General features: G+C 39.1%; 1 protein-coding gene across 4 annotated transcripts in view; it reads left to right on the top strand.

Moving 5' to 3' along the window:
* LRP2 (LDL receptor related protein 2) overlaps positions 1-15,513 on the top strand; it is a 235,426-nt gene that overhangs the window by 157,661 nt on the left and 62,252 nt on the right. For all 4 annotated transcript variants that reach the window (XM_011511183.4, NM_004525.3, XM_047444340.1 and 1 more), the window contains 7 exons: positions 603-892; positions 1,915-2,118; positions 3,004-3,246; positions 5,963-6,088; positions 7,844-7,963; positions 10,982-11,113; positions 12,841-13,042. In XM_011511183.4, the coding sequence (XP_011509485.1) occupies positions 603-892; positions 1,915-2,118; positions 3,004-3,246; positions 5,963-6,088; positions 7,844-7,963; positions 10,982-11,113; positions 12,841-13,042 (1,317 nt within the window). The remainder of the gene's footprint in view (positions 1-602; positions 893-1,914; positions 2,119-3,003; positions 3,247-5,962; positions 6,089-7,843; positions 7,964-10,981; positions 11,114-12,840; positions 13,043-15,513) is intronic.

Raw genomic sequence — 15,513 nt, 5'->3', positions numbered from 1 at the left:
CATCCTAATGGAATAGTTGAAGGGATGAAATGATTTTGTTTATTATGGCTGGTGTCTACATATCGGGAATCTTAATTTTTCTTGCATATTTCTTTGGAATTTTAGTCTTTTGATGCCAAGACCTAACCTCCTGATCTTTTCTTTATTCTCCTATTTGAAACAAAGCAGTGATGCTTTGAGTCTAAGCTTGGATTATTCTAGGTAAACACCTCAAGGTACTCAATAAACATCAAATTGAAAAAGTCACTAAGGAAGTGGGATGGAAAAGTTATTGTTTTATTGAGAGTCTGCTATGTGCTTAACACTGAGTTCCATGCATTACATGGATTATTTCATGTTTTCCTGTTTCTAATATCAACCTGATTCCTTTTGTAGGATTACTATTCATATTTGGAAGTCAATGATTTTATATAGGCTATTGTTTGATAAGCAAACAAGACCTCCCATCACCAGAAGAAACATTTCCAGCTGCCATATGCCCCATTTGAAAAGAAAGTTTGCAGCTTGTGTAAACAATGATGAGGCGCATGCATTGGGCTGCCAGTTGAAAACTTAACTCACTTGAGATTTCAACTTCTAAATTTTTTTTTGCTTCATTTTAGGCAGAGGATTGAACGCAGCACTCTGACGGGCGTGGATCGTGAAGTCATTGTCAATGCAGCCGTTCATGCTTTTGGCTTGACTCTCTATGGCCAGTATATTTACTGGACTGACTTGTACACACAAAGAATTTACCGAGCTAACAAATATGACGGGTCAGGTCAGATTGCAATGACCACAAATTTGCTCTCCCAGCCCAGGGGAATCAACACTGTTGTGAAGAACCAGAAACAACAGTGTAACAATCCTTGTGAACAGTTTAATGGGGGCTGCAGCCATATCTGTGCACCAGGTAAGGCACTGACCATGAAAATTAGAACATGGAGAATAATGATCACAATACCAATTGGTAAGGAAAGCTGAAGTTCTCACAGGAGAAAAAATTCAAATTCTCCTTGATGTCAGGGTAATTTATGAAACAGACCTGGGGCTATATTTTGAGAGGAAGACTTGGCAGGCTTCTTTTCTAATCTATATGGAGCCCTTTTATGAAAGCATTTTCTTTTATTTTATTTTTGAGACGGAGTCTCACTCTGTCGCCCAGGCTGGAGTGCAGTGGCGGGATCTCAGCTCACTGCAACCTCCACCTCCTGGGTTCATGCCATTCTCCTGCTTCAGCCTCCCTAGTAGCTGGGACTACAGGCACACGACGTGTCCAGCTAATTTTTGTATTTTTAGTAGAGACGGGGCTTCACCATGTTGGCCAGGCTAGTTTCAAACTCTTGGCCTCAAGAGATTGCCCACCTCGGCCTCCCAAAATGCTGGGATTACAGGCGTGAGCCACAGCACTCAGCCTATGAAGGCATTTTAAATACAAGCTTGATGGAGTTAGAAAGAAAGATGAAGGCCTTGGCTGCCCTACTTCATGTCTTGACTAAGAATTCTGTCAATGAGCTGGCCTTCCTTATAAAAGGATTTACATTTTCTGCTTAAGAGGTATTATTTATAGTTTGAAATATTTCTGGTGATATTTGCGGGTGGGATCATATGTGCTTCATTGTGCATTTTATAAAGAACAACAAATTCACGGGAAGATGTGCCTTTTGATGTTGTTGCTTTGCAAATTTTGCTGAGAAGAGTCGTTGATATTTCCTGTTGTTTAGAAGGAATCGGCACATTTATTAGAAATTGGTGATTGCTCTTCTTGATGGAAAAGTGACTCAGAATATAGTTAAAAGGTTAATGGGCAGAACTTCCATGGCGCTTCTTAGGGAGCATTTAATGTAGAAGCTGTTGCAAGTGCTATTGTGGAGGGGTCAATGTGAACGGTGGCTGCATCCATCTTTTACTTCTTCTGGGATTATCTTTCTTCAGGTCCAAATGGTGCCGAGTGCCAGTGTCCACATGAGGGCAACTGGTATTTGGCCAACAACAGGAAGCACTGCATTGTGGACAATGGTGAACGATGTGGTGCATCTTCCTTCACCTGCTCCAATGGGCGCTGCATCTCGGAAGAGTGGAAGTGTGATAATGACAACGACTGTGGGGATGGCAGTGATGAGATGGAAAGTGTCTGTGGTGAGTTGGACTCTTGGCGCTTTTGGTAGGAGCTAATGGCATCTTGATGTCAAGTGTTTGGTATGGAATCCTGCTATGTGTGAATGTGTTTGAAATGTGTGCCTAGGCATCCTGGTAGAGCTGAAAAATGTTTCCTCTGATAATCCAGACTGTTTCTGTTAAATCACCTCTGTAGTGGTTAAGAGCACAAGCACAATCATCATCCTGGTGATCGCATTTGTAATCTGTATAGACCTGGGAAAGTTACTTAATATCTCAAGCCTCAGACATCTCATCTGTAAAATGGAGCTACTACTAGGGTTCTTGCGAGGAGTAAGAGAAACAATATGTAAAAATCCCTTAGCATGAGGCATGGTGCAAGCTAAGTCTAGCTTAGCTTGGGACTAAGGAAACGTATCATTTTACCAATTTTCGTAGCACAAAGGTCATTATTTCAAAAATTTTATGAAAATAACTTCCAATCCTCAGCTTCCATCTGAATAGAGTGAATAAAACACAGTGGACTTTCTCAGGGAGTTCTGAGGTTGGTTACCTTTTCCTAGCAGACTGTGATAGGGGCTAGGAGTTTTTATTTTCCTGAAATAAACTATAATTGCATGCTTTTTGTGATTGAGATAAATTGAGATTATAGAGAAACAGAATGACTTTGATTTGTGCTTAAATTACTTGATTTGTGCCTAAAACAATTTTAAAAATGTATACAACATATTTTGCTTAATCTAACTAATTAAAAGTGTTATCTCACTTTGCATGCAGTCCATTTTGCAGCGTTTTTTGCCTTGGAAGGTAAATTCAAAGTGTCTCTTTTATTTAATTGTATCTTTTTAAAAATTAGGATAATGTTTTAATCAAGAGGGTTTGTTCTCATGTTTTTCCTGTTCTTAGCACTTCACACCTGCTCACCGACAGCCTTCACCTGTGCCAATGGGCGATGTGTCCAATACTCTTACCGCTGTGATTACTACAATGACTGTGGTGATGGCAGTGATGAGGCAGGGTGCCTGTTCAGGGACTGCAATGCCACCACGGAGTTTATGTGCAATAACAGAAGGTGCATACCTCGTGAGTTTATCTGCAATGGTGTAGACAACTGCCATGATAATAACACTTCAGATGAGAAAAATTGCCGTAAGTTTATCTTAAGTGCTTATTGTGATTTTGGGTCTGAAGTCTTGGATCACAGGAGATGAAATTATTATATAAAAAAAAGGCTTTCCAAAAATAAAAACCCTAAGTATTTATCTAAAACGTAAATTTTTGGCTAGGCGCGGTAGCAAGTATCAACAAATACCAATCTTGTTTCATTTTTCTCTCCTTTTTTCTAGTATTTTAAAGTGACTCCTAGTCATGCACTTCACTGATAACATTTTGGAAAATAACTACCATGCCATTATAATGCCTGGCAAAATCAAAAGTGCTTACTAAATATCCCTGAGTACCTAGTCCATGTTCAAATTTTGTCACTTATCCCCAAAATGTATTTTTACTGTTCTCTGTTCAAGTTAGGGTTCAGATGAGATCTACAACTGATTTTGATTGTTATAATTCTTCAATCTCTTTTATGCCACAACACTTCCCACTTTTTAATGTCATTGATTCATTAGAAAGATTAGGTGATTTGTCCTGTAGAATATCTCACATTCTGGACTTGACTAATTGCATAATTGATCCATTTAATTTATCTTATCCCTCTTATTTCCTATGAACTGGTATGTAGACCTAGAGTTTTGATCATAACAGGTGCAATTCTTTGGGTAAGAGTATTTCAGAGGTGGAGCTGTGCCTTTCCTGTTGCATCACCTTATGAGGCACATGATGTTTTGTTGCCCCACTTTAAGTGGATTCTGGTGTCAGCCTGAATCATCTCTTATGAAGCTCCCATCATCCTTTCACCCAGTGGTTTTAGCATCCATCGGTGGTTGTTCCGTAAACCCATTATTTCTTTAAGAGTTATGAATGGGCTCTTTAGAATTCTAGTGTTCCTGCCGCATTTATTAGCTGAAGTTTGATAAAGAAGACATTTCCCTTACCAGCTTTTGTTGGTAATTAGAATCTACAGGATAAATACCTTTTGCTTGTCAATTTTCAGAGTAATGAGTTGGTGACAAAGGAGAATTAACTTTTTGTTTAGTTTAGTTTAGTTTAGTATTATATTGAACTCTTTGATCTTCATGTATTTGATGAGTTTTAATACAGTGCTGTCAACTGTTTTTTCTTGGTGCCCAGTTGTCCAAACTTAGGCCAATGGGAGTCCTTAACTTGAATTTTCTGTTCTTTGGCATGACCCCAATCCATCTTCTTATAGCTCAAGCTTGTCTTATATTTCCTGTCCCAGTCCTGGAATTAGCCACTTATCCAAGGAGACCTCATTCCCTTTGTGGTACTTAGAAATTATCACAGGGTTGAGTTGCTCATTCCTACTTAGCTTTCATTGCTTCTAGTCCTTTTCAATGGTCAGAGCTAGGAAATACAGTTTTTAAGGAAAAAAAATTTTTTTATTTTTTTGAGATGGAGTCTTGCTCTATCGCCCAGGCTGGAGTGCAGTGACGCGATCTCAGCTCACTGCAAGCTCTGCCTCCCGGGTTCACGCCATTCTCCTGCCTCAGCCTCCCGGGTAGCTGGGACTACAGGCACCCGCCACCATGCCTGGCTAATTTTTTGTATTTTTTAGTAGAGACGAGGTTTCACCATGTTAGCCAGGATGGTCTCGATCTCCTGACCTCATGATCCGCCCACCTTGGCCTCCCAAAGTGCTGGGATTACAGGCGTGAGCCACTGCACCCGGCCAGAAAAAATTTTTATTGATATTTCCCATTGAAATTTAAGATTACAGGTTGTTTACATTTTAGATTTTATAATGACATCTCTTCTTATGCTTAAAATCATAGTTTCTCTTGACATTTAGTTGTTTTATTATATAGTAATTTCAAAATGCCTATAATAATTTCAACATTATTATAACCACTCAAAGAATACTATTAACAATAAGTCTACTAAGTGCGAGATTCTTCTTGCTTTTTAGATTATGTCCCACTAGAGATATGCAGTCAAAGGTATGACTTTAAAGATATTTGGAATTTTTTTTTCTGCAGGGTTATGCTATCAACCTGATATATAGTTAGCTTTATCTATTGCTGTTTCCAAATTTTATTTTATTTTATTGATTTTATTTGTACAAAATAGCATACATAGTTCCAAAGTTAAAACTACATGACGAGGTGCATTTATAGAAGTCCTTCATTTCTTCCTCTCCTTTCTGCTTCCTCTGTGCTCTTCTCAGTCTATCCAGAGAGATGACAATTTTTGTTAGTTTATCTTTTCTTTGTTGTTATTGTTTTTAATATAAGCATCTCTCTCTTGCTACACACACACACATACACTTATATCGTCCTTTTTCTTACACAAAAGTTAGCCTACTGTTTTGAATCTTGCTTTCTTACTATTAACAATATATCCTGAAGATTATACTGTCATTACTTATCAGTATATAGAAATCTTCTTTATTCCTTTAATAGCTACATATTACTCCATTGTGTGGAAATGCCATAGTTTATTTTACCAAGAGTTGGAACTCTTGTTGATGCTATTAATTAATGAAAACAGATGATTTAAGTTACAAACCAGTGTCTCCTCTCCCTTCTCCCCAGTATCAGCTGGAAATATGTTTTTTTACTACAGAATCTATAGGTAACATAAGTATCATGGATCCTGCCTTTCTGATGGCTTTGAAAATGCCGCCCTTCCAGTGGTTTGAGTTCCACAATAGATGTGTTAGCACGGATACTGTTCATAATACATATTTGGTGGATATATTCCTAATATTTATCTGGTTGTCTTTTTCAAGCTGATCGCACTTGCCAGTCTGGATACACAAAATGTCATAATTCAAATATTTGTATTCCTCGCGTTTATTTGTGTGACGGAGACAATGACTGTGGAGATAACAGTGATGAAAACCCTACTTATTGCAGTGAGTAAGATAAAACTGCTTTCTTTCTATCGTTCCAGAGATGCATGTTGTGAGCTAATACAAAGATATGAAGCGTGGGTATTCGGGCTGATTTCAATTGTCATTTCACATTGACCTTCTAAGTAGAGGTGGTAGGCAGTTGCTTTCATATGTGATTGCAGGGGTATGAGAAACTCTTTCTCTCTGTTCCCTGGCTAGAATTCCCAGACCCTGAATATTTCTTCCAGAGATCTGCTACTATTGGAGAGCCATTTCTCCCAGTGTTGAAAGCCTTTTGCCTTCATGTACTTAGGCAGAATTTGCCCGTTAAGCCCTTATAATTTACTCTTAATATTATTATAGTGGCCATCAGTAACTGAAAATTATTTTTTTTTCAGACAGTCTCACTCTGTCACCTGGGCTGTAGTGTAGTGGTGTGATCACAGCTCACCGCAGCCTCTGCCTCCTGTGCTCAAGCCATCCTCCCATCTCAGCCTCCTGAGTAGCTGGGATTACGTGCATGTGACACCATGCCCAGCTAATTTTTGTATTTTTTGTAGATATGGGGTTTCTCTGTGTTACCCAGGCTGGTCTGGAACTCTTGGGCTCAAGCGATCCACCCATCTCAGCCTCCCAAAGTGCTGGGATTACAAGTATGAGCCACCGTGCCTGACCAGTAACTGAAAGTATCTTTATATCCCCTAGATACGTTGGAATTTCAGAAATCTCTATTTCGTATTTAGCAATTTGGTTCATTCAAACAATTTCCTGTATTTATAGCTCAAATTAAAAGGCCTTTCTTAAGTTTGATAACTTTGAGACTATTAGTGTAAATAGATACATAATTTAAGGATTTAGTGATTGGACTTCCCTGTTCTGTGTATATGTAGTTAAACTCTTGTCACTGGCCCCTCCCAAGGAAATCAAAGGGCATCATAATTATTTGTCACCAAATTAGGGTACAGCACAGGAAGAGGAATCTGTTGTAATAACAGCAGCACAAGGAAGCAGAATTCAGGTTGCAGCCACCAGATAGGGCTAGACAGATAGGAATTATTGCTGACTTTTCAGGGACCTCTGCTTCCATTGTCAGTTCTCCCCTGGCAAATCATCAGATATCAGGGGCCAAAGCAAAACGGCCTTATAGACCAGAAGAATTACAAGACTTTAATTAGATGTGCACCCACATAACAATTTGGAAAATGCATATAACCAGAGCTACCTAAAATTACTGGAGAAAAGAGTCAATGTTCAAACATAGGCAGAGTTTCCCACTTACTCAACTAAAAGTCTGGTATTCCAAGGATGAATACGAAGATAACTTTGCCAACTTTCTAGAGTTATTATCTAACATAGCTAAAAGGTTGTGTGTGGAGCGAGCTTAGATATGATCACATTATTGTTTTGCTTTTAATTATCATTGCAATGGAATTTATTTAATCTTACATTATAGTAGAAAAAATAAAACCAAGACTTATAATTTGTGATTTCATTTATCACAAAGATAGTTCTTTGGTATTTCTAACAAATACAATTTTTTTTTTTTGATTTCTGGAATCTAGAAAAACAAATTGGGGAATTGGGGCAGGATTGACTTCCTTCTGTCTCCCATACTTCTTCCTCCCCACAGAAAGCTTACACAAGCATCCATTTTCCAGGCTCAGTCTTCCTTTTTTGGTAACTATTATCTAGCTCAGAGATAGAGGCAGATTGTTAAGACTGATGGGAACATGCTTGTGTTTTGCTCATGGGTTTTATCTTCTTTCCCTCCTGCAGCCACTCACACGTGCAGCAGCAGTGAGTTCCAATGCGCATCTGGGCGCTGTATTCCTCAACATTGGTATTGTGATCAAGAAACAGATTGTTTTGATGCCTCTGATGAACCTGCCTCTTGTGGTAAGAGAGTAAGCAAGCATGAAAAACATCACGATGCAGCTAGACAACTTCAGTCTCTTCCAACTGCTTCAAATACAGACCAGGGTCATGGCTGCTGAATGCTTGGACTTCCTGTCCCAGCTTTCATCTGGAATGCTGACACCGCTCAGCGGATATTCATTAAGACCTGTTAGTGGAGAGCACTGTGTGGGGAGCTGATCAGGATACGGAAGCTGCTGATTGATGCTGATAAAATGAAATTATATTGGTGATGCACCTAATACAGTGCTTAGCTGGTAGAACTTAATTTTAGTTGGCTCTCAATTGAAGTTTCTGAATTTGGTTGAGTGCTGGCCCAGAAAGCTGTCAGAGGACCTAAAAGTGATTGGAGTCATATACATGGGGAAGGAGTATATTAGGAGCATGCATCCTCTTCCTGTTCTCTCTCTGTGCCAGTTTATGAGCACAAGAGGCCCAAGAAGTTGCAGGAGCCTTTGGTTGTATTCCTGGGGACAGTTATGCCCTGTTTACATTTGGAGGCTGCTATTTGCCTTCACAAATTCTAATCTATATCCATGCACATTTTTTACATAATTGTAAAAATATAAAAATACAATCTTCTACATTGCTTTAAAAAACCTGTCAATAAATCATATTGCTATATAGGAGTCAGAAAACTATGGCTGTGGCCAGTTGCCTGTCTTTATAGATAGCATTTTACTCAAATGCAGCCACATATGGCTGCTGTCCCTCTACTATGGCCACGTCCTGTAGGTGCAACAGAGACCATAGGGCCTGTAAGCCTAAAATATTTACTATCTAGTTAAAAAGTTTGCTCGTCCTTGTCTTCATACTGCCTTTTAATGACTATAATATTCCATTGAGTGGTTATAGTATCATCAAATTAACTGCCTCTATTATTAAGCATTAGGTTGCTTTTATTTTATTCCTCTATAGTATATATCATTGCAGTAAATATTAACATCGTATTTAAAACATTTTATTTTCAGGATATTTTCTTAGGATCATTAGTATAGTTTTATAGCTGAAGTCAAACTATTTTCAATTCCAGTTTTCTCTCAGGTTTAAATTCTGTGTTGAAGAGTGGTATTTGGAGTGCTTCACTAAGTTCTTTTTCCCCAACACTGAAAGTTTTATAGAAAGCAAAGGGCACATAGAGTTTTGAGGACCTGTAAAGGAAATAACTAATAACTGCTGGATGAGTAGAATAGTCTTAGAGATTGTTTCAAATGTATGAATTATTGGTTCAAATATATGAATAATTAATATGAGTTTTTAAACTTCTCTATGGTAACAAAAGCCATAGTAATAGCAGTGAGTACCAATGACCTGATATATTTAAATAAAAATAAGCACATAATCTATATATGAATATATCCTCATTGTAGTAAAGTAATAATATTCAGAAATATATTTTAAAGAAATAATACGATGTACAAAAAAGTAAAATTTACATTTTTTCATCCTTCTCCAATCCCCTCACTCCTCAAAGGTAATCACTATTAAAAGGTTGAGTGTGAATTTGACTTACTTTTATCTTTTATATATCTTACTTTACTTTTATATATCTTGATATATAGATTTTAAAAAAACAGATGGAGTCTTACTATACATATTTTCTGCAATTAGCTTTTATTTTTTAAGCTTAACATCATGTCAGCAAATACAGACCAGCCTCATTCCTGTACACTGCCAAAGAATATTTTAAAATGCGAATGGTCCATGTATTTTTATCCTTTTCCTAGTGGTTGGACATTTAGGTTGTTTCCATTTTTTCACTATGAAAAACAGTGTCAGGGTGAACATCCTTTGTGCACATGTGGAAAGATCCTTATGGTCTAGATGTCCAGAAATGGTGCTGCTGTATCAAAGGAGATATGTCTCTTCAAAAAATCTGGATCAGGCCAGGCGCGGTGGCTCACGCCTGTAATCCTAGCGCTTTGGGAGGCCAAGGCAGGCGGATCACAAGGTCAAGAGATCGAGACCATCCTGGCCAACATGGTGAAACCTGTCTCTACTAAAAACACAAGAATTAGCCGGGCGCGGTGGCACACGCCTGTAATCCCAGCTACTCAGGCAGGAGAATCACTTGAACCTGGGAGGCGGAGGTTGCAGTGAGCCGAGATCGCACCACTGCACTCCAGCCTGGCCACAGAGTGAGACTCTGTCTCCAAAAAAAAAAAAAAAAAAAAAAGTCTGGATCAATGTACACACTTTTCATAGCAGCTTCTGAAAGAGCCTGTTTCTTGTTACTGTTATGATATAGGCTGTGTCTTTATCAGTTGCAACTATACTTTCTCTTGCCTTAGGCTAATTCCAGGGTCCCCTGGGTTTGGGAGCCTATGACACCTTCATTAGTTAAATAGGAACATGTGGGGTTAGGGTTAGAGCATCTGAATCAGTGATGGCTAATTTGAAGTAGAAGAGTGACTTATTTTAATTCAGTATTTATTGAACAGTGGTGTTCTAGGAACTTTTGGGCTGTGTCAGTGAATAAGACAACAATCCCTACCCACATGGAGCTAATATTCTAAAGAGGGGAGACAGGCAACCAATCAGTAAATTGTCTAGTATGTTGAAAGGTGGTGCTAAGTGTTATGGAAAGAAGGAAAGGGAGCAAGGAAGCGGGCATGGGGAGTGCAGGCGAGGGGAGACTTTGCACAAAACAAAATGGTTTTGGATGAAAAGTAGATTTTAAAATAGAAACATGTGAAATAGTAGGTAATTCATATCTTTCCTGGGAAAAGAAGTGTTCTTTCTCTACCATACACATAAGGGAATATTGTATCTCATTTTAGTCACCAAAGATAATTAGGGCTTTGCACTGTCAGTTGACTACTTTTACCTCAAACTGTTGGTCGCTGGTACTAGTCTTATTGGAGGACTACCCTAGATGTATATAATTAAATAATGCTCTGTTTCAGGTTTTCTAGACAACCCATGCTACAACCAGCTTGTCTCCAGATTCCTGGACTGTAAACCACTTTTTTTCACTGAGAATGCTATTGATCTTTTCAGGTCACTCTGAGCGAACATGCCTAGCTGATGAGTTCAAGTGTGATGGTGGGAGGTGCATCCCAAGCGAATGGATCTGTGACGGTGATAATGACTGTGGGGATATGAGTGACGAGGATAAAAGGCACCAGTGTCGTAAGTGAAGCCAATTAATTCCTCTGCAGAGTCACATTCCAGGGAAACACAGTAGAGTTGTTTTTCTGTGTTTGGAGAGTATGATTGCAGATTTCTCTGTAATTGAATGGACACTGATAGAATGTTACCTTTGTTTCTCCATGCTGGGAGTGTTTGATATCATCCACTTAAATGCTTCAGAGTGATGAAAAATGACTTTATGTTTACTTTCTTTCTCTTACATTTGGCTAATGGACATAATGTCCTACATTTCTAGGGGAAAAAAAAAACCCACAAATACTTGGTTGTCTCCTTTTCTTTTTTCTTTTCTTTCTTTCTTTTTTTTTTTTTTTGACAAGGTCTTACTCTGTTGCCCAGGCTGGAGTGCAGTGGCGGTATCATGGCTCAGTGCAGCCTCCACCTTCCAGGCTCAAGCGATCCTCCCACTTCAGCCTCCCAAGTAGTTGGGACCATACGCCCACCACCATGCCTGGCTGATTTTTTATACTTTTTTTTTTGTAGAGACGAAGTCTCACTATATTGGCTAGGCTAATCTCAAACTACTGGGCTCAAGCAGTCCTCTTGCCTTGGCCTCCCAAAGTGCTGGGATTACAAGCATGAGCCACTGCACCCAGTGGTTGGCCACTCTTAATAGCAACCTTCACAGTATAACAATGAACTGTCTCTGGTTTCCTTTGTCACCTTAAAGCGGCATGGAGGGAGGGGTGTTATGCCTCTTGAGTAGATAATGGAACATCATTTTCATTACCAACAGGGTATGGAAATCTTAGCTAGTTCAAGAATTAATCTAATCGGTGTTAGAATAATGTCTTTCTATGGTAGGGCAATAGACTCAATGGCTCCCTGCTGCTTGCATCTGATGGCACCCTCCTGTGTTGTGACTTTGGTGGTGGGTCACAACTCCACATTTACCCTATCCACCCTATCCACTGACATGGGTGGTTTTCAGCTACACATACATGGATTGTGGTGTATGCATTTCTCTCACCTGTCTTTACCAACATCATCTTCTTTCTTTTGTTTCCTATTCACCTGCAATGAGTCTGGATAAAACCCCTGTTCTTTTATTTTGTGGACACTAATGATTTGATGTCAGCATCTCACCTCTTTCCTCATAGCATCATGGTTTCTGACAACTCTGTTAGCATATGCCTTTCCTCTCCACCCCAATATTGCTTGGGGTGGTAGCTATAATGTAGTTGGAAAAGCACTAAATTTGGAGGAGAAAGACCTAGGTTTGAAGCCCCAGCTCTTCACCTAGTTCTATGACTTTGAGACATCCAGTTAACCATCTTTGAGCTTCAGTTTTCTCATCTATACAAATGGTGTAAAAATACCTATTTCACATTGTGCTTGTGTGATTATACTTTGTAAACTAAAAAAAGTTACCAAAATATAAGGCATTCGGTATCCAGTTAACAAAATGGTAGTGGTTTTCTGAAGCCCTAAGGGAAAAAGTATGACCATTCTAATGTATTTTATGGAAAAATAAATGAGACATTTTATTGTATTGATTTCTTTGAAAAAGCCAGGGTCCAAAGCAATTAAAATGGAATCTTTGGAGGTATTTTTATTATGATCTATTATTATAATAGCAGTGTAATTTGTCTACGTGTTTTCCTCCCATTTCCTTTCATACTTAGAATGGTAAGTAACATTAAAGCAAAGAGAATTAACTGCTGCACTGAGCTCTCATGCTTTCTGATTCTTGCGTGCTTTGGTTTCAGAGAATCAAAACTGCTCGGATTCCGAGTTTCTCTGTGTAAATGACAGACCTCCGGACAGGAGGTGCATTCCCCAGTCTTGGGTCTGTGATGGCGATGTGGATTGTACTGACGGCTACGATGAGAATCAGAATTGCACCAGGAGAACTTGCTCTGAAAATGAATTCACCTGTGGTTACGGACTGTGTATCCCAAAGATATTCAGGTGAATTGAGGATTCAGAAGTTACCCAGCATGCCTCAAATGTCCATGGGGGCTGGGCTCACTTACCTATCAGGCACCCCGTGGCCACAGTGCCCAGGGCCCATGATGCTTTTAGTGGCTTATGAAAATGTTTGGATTCCTTTCCAAATCAAAGGGAAAAAAAACTTTTACATCAAAGAAAGTATTTTAATATATAATATTAATATATCTGGCTTTATACCAATATGATTGCATTAAAATGAAAAGAAGTTACTTGAATTATTAATACATAATACCATATTAACAATTTAAAATTAAATATAATTTTTAATATTTTTATGGAGGAAGGAACCCAAGAAGGCAAAAATGCCTAGGGCCTGTGAAAGACAGAATCTGGCCTTGCACAGAGGGCCAGGGAGATGAATGGATAGGGCTTGAGATAAGAATTCTTTCTTGAAGCTGGTGACCCGCTTAGTTTTCCACTTGGAGTAGAGGCATTGGTATTACAAGAACTGTTTCACTCTCTTCTCTCTACTACAAGAAAAATAACAGCACAAGCATGATGATAAATAGAGCTTGGCTCTTAGGCTCAGAGTCAAGTAGAGGCAGGTGGAGTGAACTGAGACAATGTCTCCAACTAAGGATGCAGACATTGATCAATATCATGCAGAAGGGCTGGAAGGCCAGACTTTCTGATGCTCTCTTTTTGACAGAAGTTGGAAATCTGGATTTTCATTTGAAATACTCTGATTTTAAATGCTGGAAACAAATTTTAAAATTCTTAAAACACTGTGTGGATCAAACAGATTCGGCTCACAGCCTGCTGGTTTGGGGGACCTCTCCTGCAATGTTCCATTGTTTGACTTCTTACCTCTTTCTCCAAATGGGCCTCTTCAAACAGTTTATATACATTCTTAACATCCCAACTTCTCATCATCCCACTTAACAAATACTTGGATTATGGAAGGAAATGGAGAAGAACAATTTGTAAGTTTCAATCCTGATTGACTAGGAAAATAGTACGAGCATTAGCAAAAGTAGGGGAGTCCAGAAAGGCGCTTGCTCAAGGTGGAAGGTGAGTTTGACATAGTAGGACTTCCTGAGGTGAAAGTATGTCTTAGGTATTTGGGCACAACTGGAGCCGTGAAGAGATATTGCTTGTGCCAAGGACTGTTAAGGGACACACACAGGCACATTGAGAGCATCAGGAATGGCCACCTTACAGCATGCGAAGGAAGACAGTGGGAAAGATATACTAAGTAGGCACAAGATCAGAGAAGCAGAGTCACAGGGGCCATTGACTGGAGGGGCAGGCAGCTCATCAACAGGCGCTAATGTACCGTTGGAGTCCAGTGTGGTGTACGATTGTGTGTTTATTGTGGTGGTCCTGAGGAAGAAGGAGGAGGTGAAGGAGCAGGGACTCAGCAGTAATTTAAAAAGTAGATAAATGCTATCAGGAAAATACACTCTGTGGGTGATTCATCCTCTGATGAGTGGACATTGCTGAGAGGTGGTAGTTTGTGAACTGACAATGCAAAGACATTCAAGAGGTGGAGCTGTCTTCTTTTGTAGTGAAGCTGCAGTAGAATATGCTTTGTTTGTATTTAAGTAATATGAATGTAAAGTGTAGATTTTTATTTTTTGCACCTAAAGTGGATAAATCTTTGTCTATATTTTCTCCCTACTGCTCAAGAGTTCTATTGTGTTGCACTTCTATAGTTTTTCTGAATTTGGTAAATAGCTAATAGCATTAGTCTTAGATGTAAATATATTCTGAATACCTAGGCTTAGACTCTAGGCACAAGAATGGTAGCAGGTGTTGATTTTGATCAGACTCCAAGTTATCTCCTTTATTCCTCCCATTCTGAGCTTTCTGGGTTCTTCCTTTATCATTACTATGATCTCACAGCACAGTAACATTTCCTCTCTCCCTTTCTTTGTTCGTCCATTGTTCCTTCCTTCACTTTCCCTCCCTTTCTCTCTCTCTTTCTTTTTTTCCTTGAGCTTTCTGAATTTCCTTGAAAAGGGCTATAGTAGAAGAGAAAAAAAAATACTGTTTGTTTGAAAACCTGAGCTATCAGCTTCTAAGTAAGTCCAAAATCTGTGTCTGGAGTAGCCTCTACTAGGTGTGCTGTTAGTGTGCATCTCCTTGCTTGCTTGGCAGAAAGTGTGCTCCCCATTTGGTACAGTGGGACAGGAGATCATTTTTCCTATTGACCTTCTTTTTTTCTTGGCTCACTACTGATGCTGCTGAAAAACATGGATGATAAGACTGAGGGGTGACAATTTGGTGATGAGCTGGAATACTGACTTGCAATAGTGTCTGAAAGCTTGGTGATTTGCTTGATGACTTGTTTTTCCTCCTGCATTGGATCTAAATTAGACAAAGGAAAACATTGGTGTTTTCAAACCATTTGGAAATGAGTTAAATAGCTCCCGGGAGACCAAATGAAGCTGAGCCAGTCTGCCTTGACCACAGCTTTCTTCACAATT

The sequence above is a fragment of the Homo sapiens genome, chromosome 2 (assembly GCF_000001405.40).
Source record: "Homo sapiens chromosome 2, GRCh38.p14 Primary Assembly".
Classification (NCBI taxonomy): Eukaryota; Metazoa; Chordata; class Mammalia; order Primates; family Hominidae; genus Homo; species Homo sapiens.
Note: the sequence above shows the minus strand (reverse complement) of the source record. Positions and strands in the feature narration are given on the sequence as shown.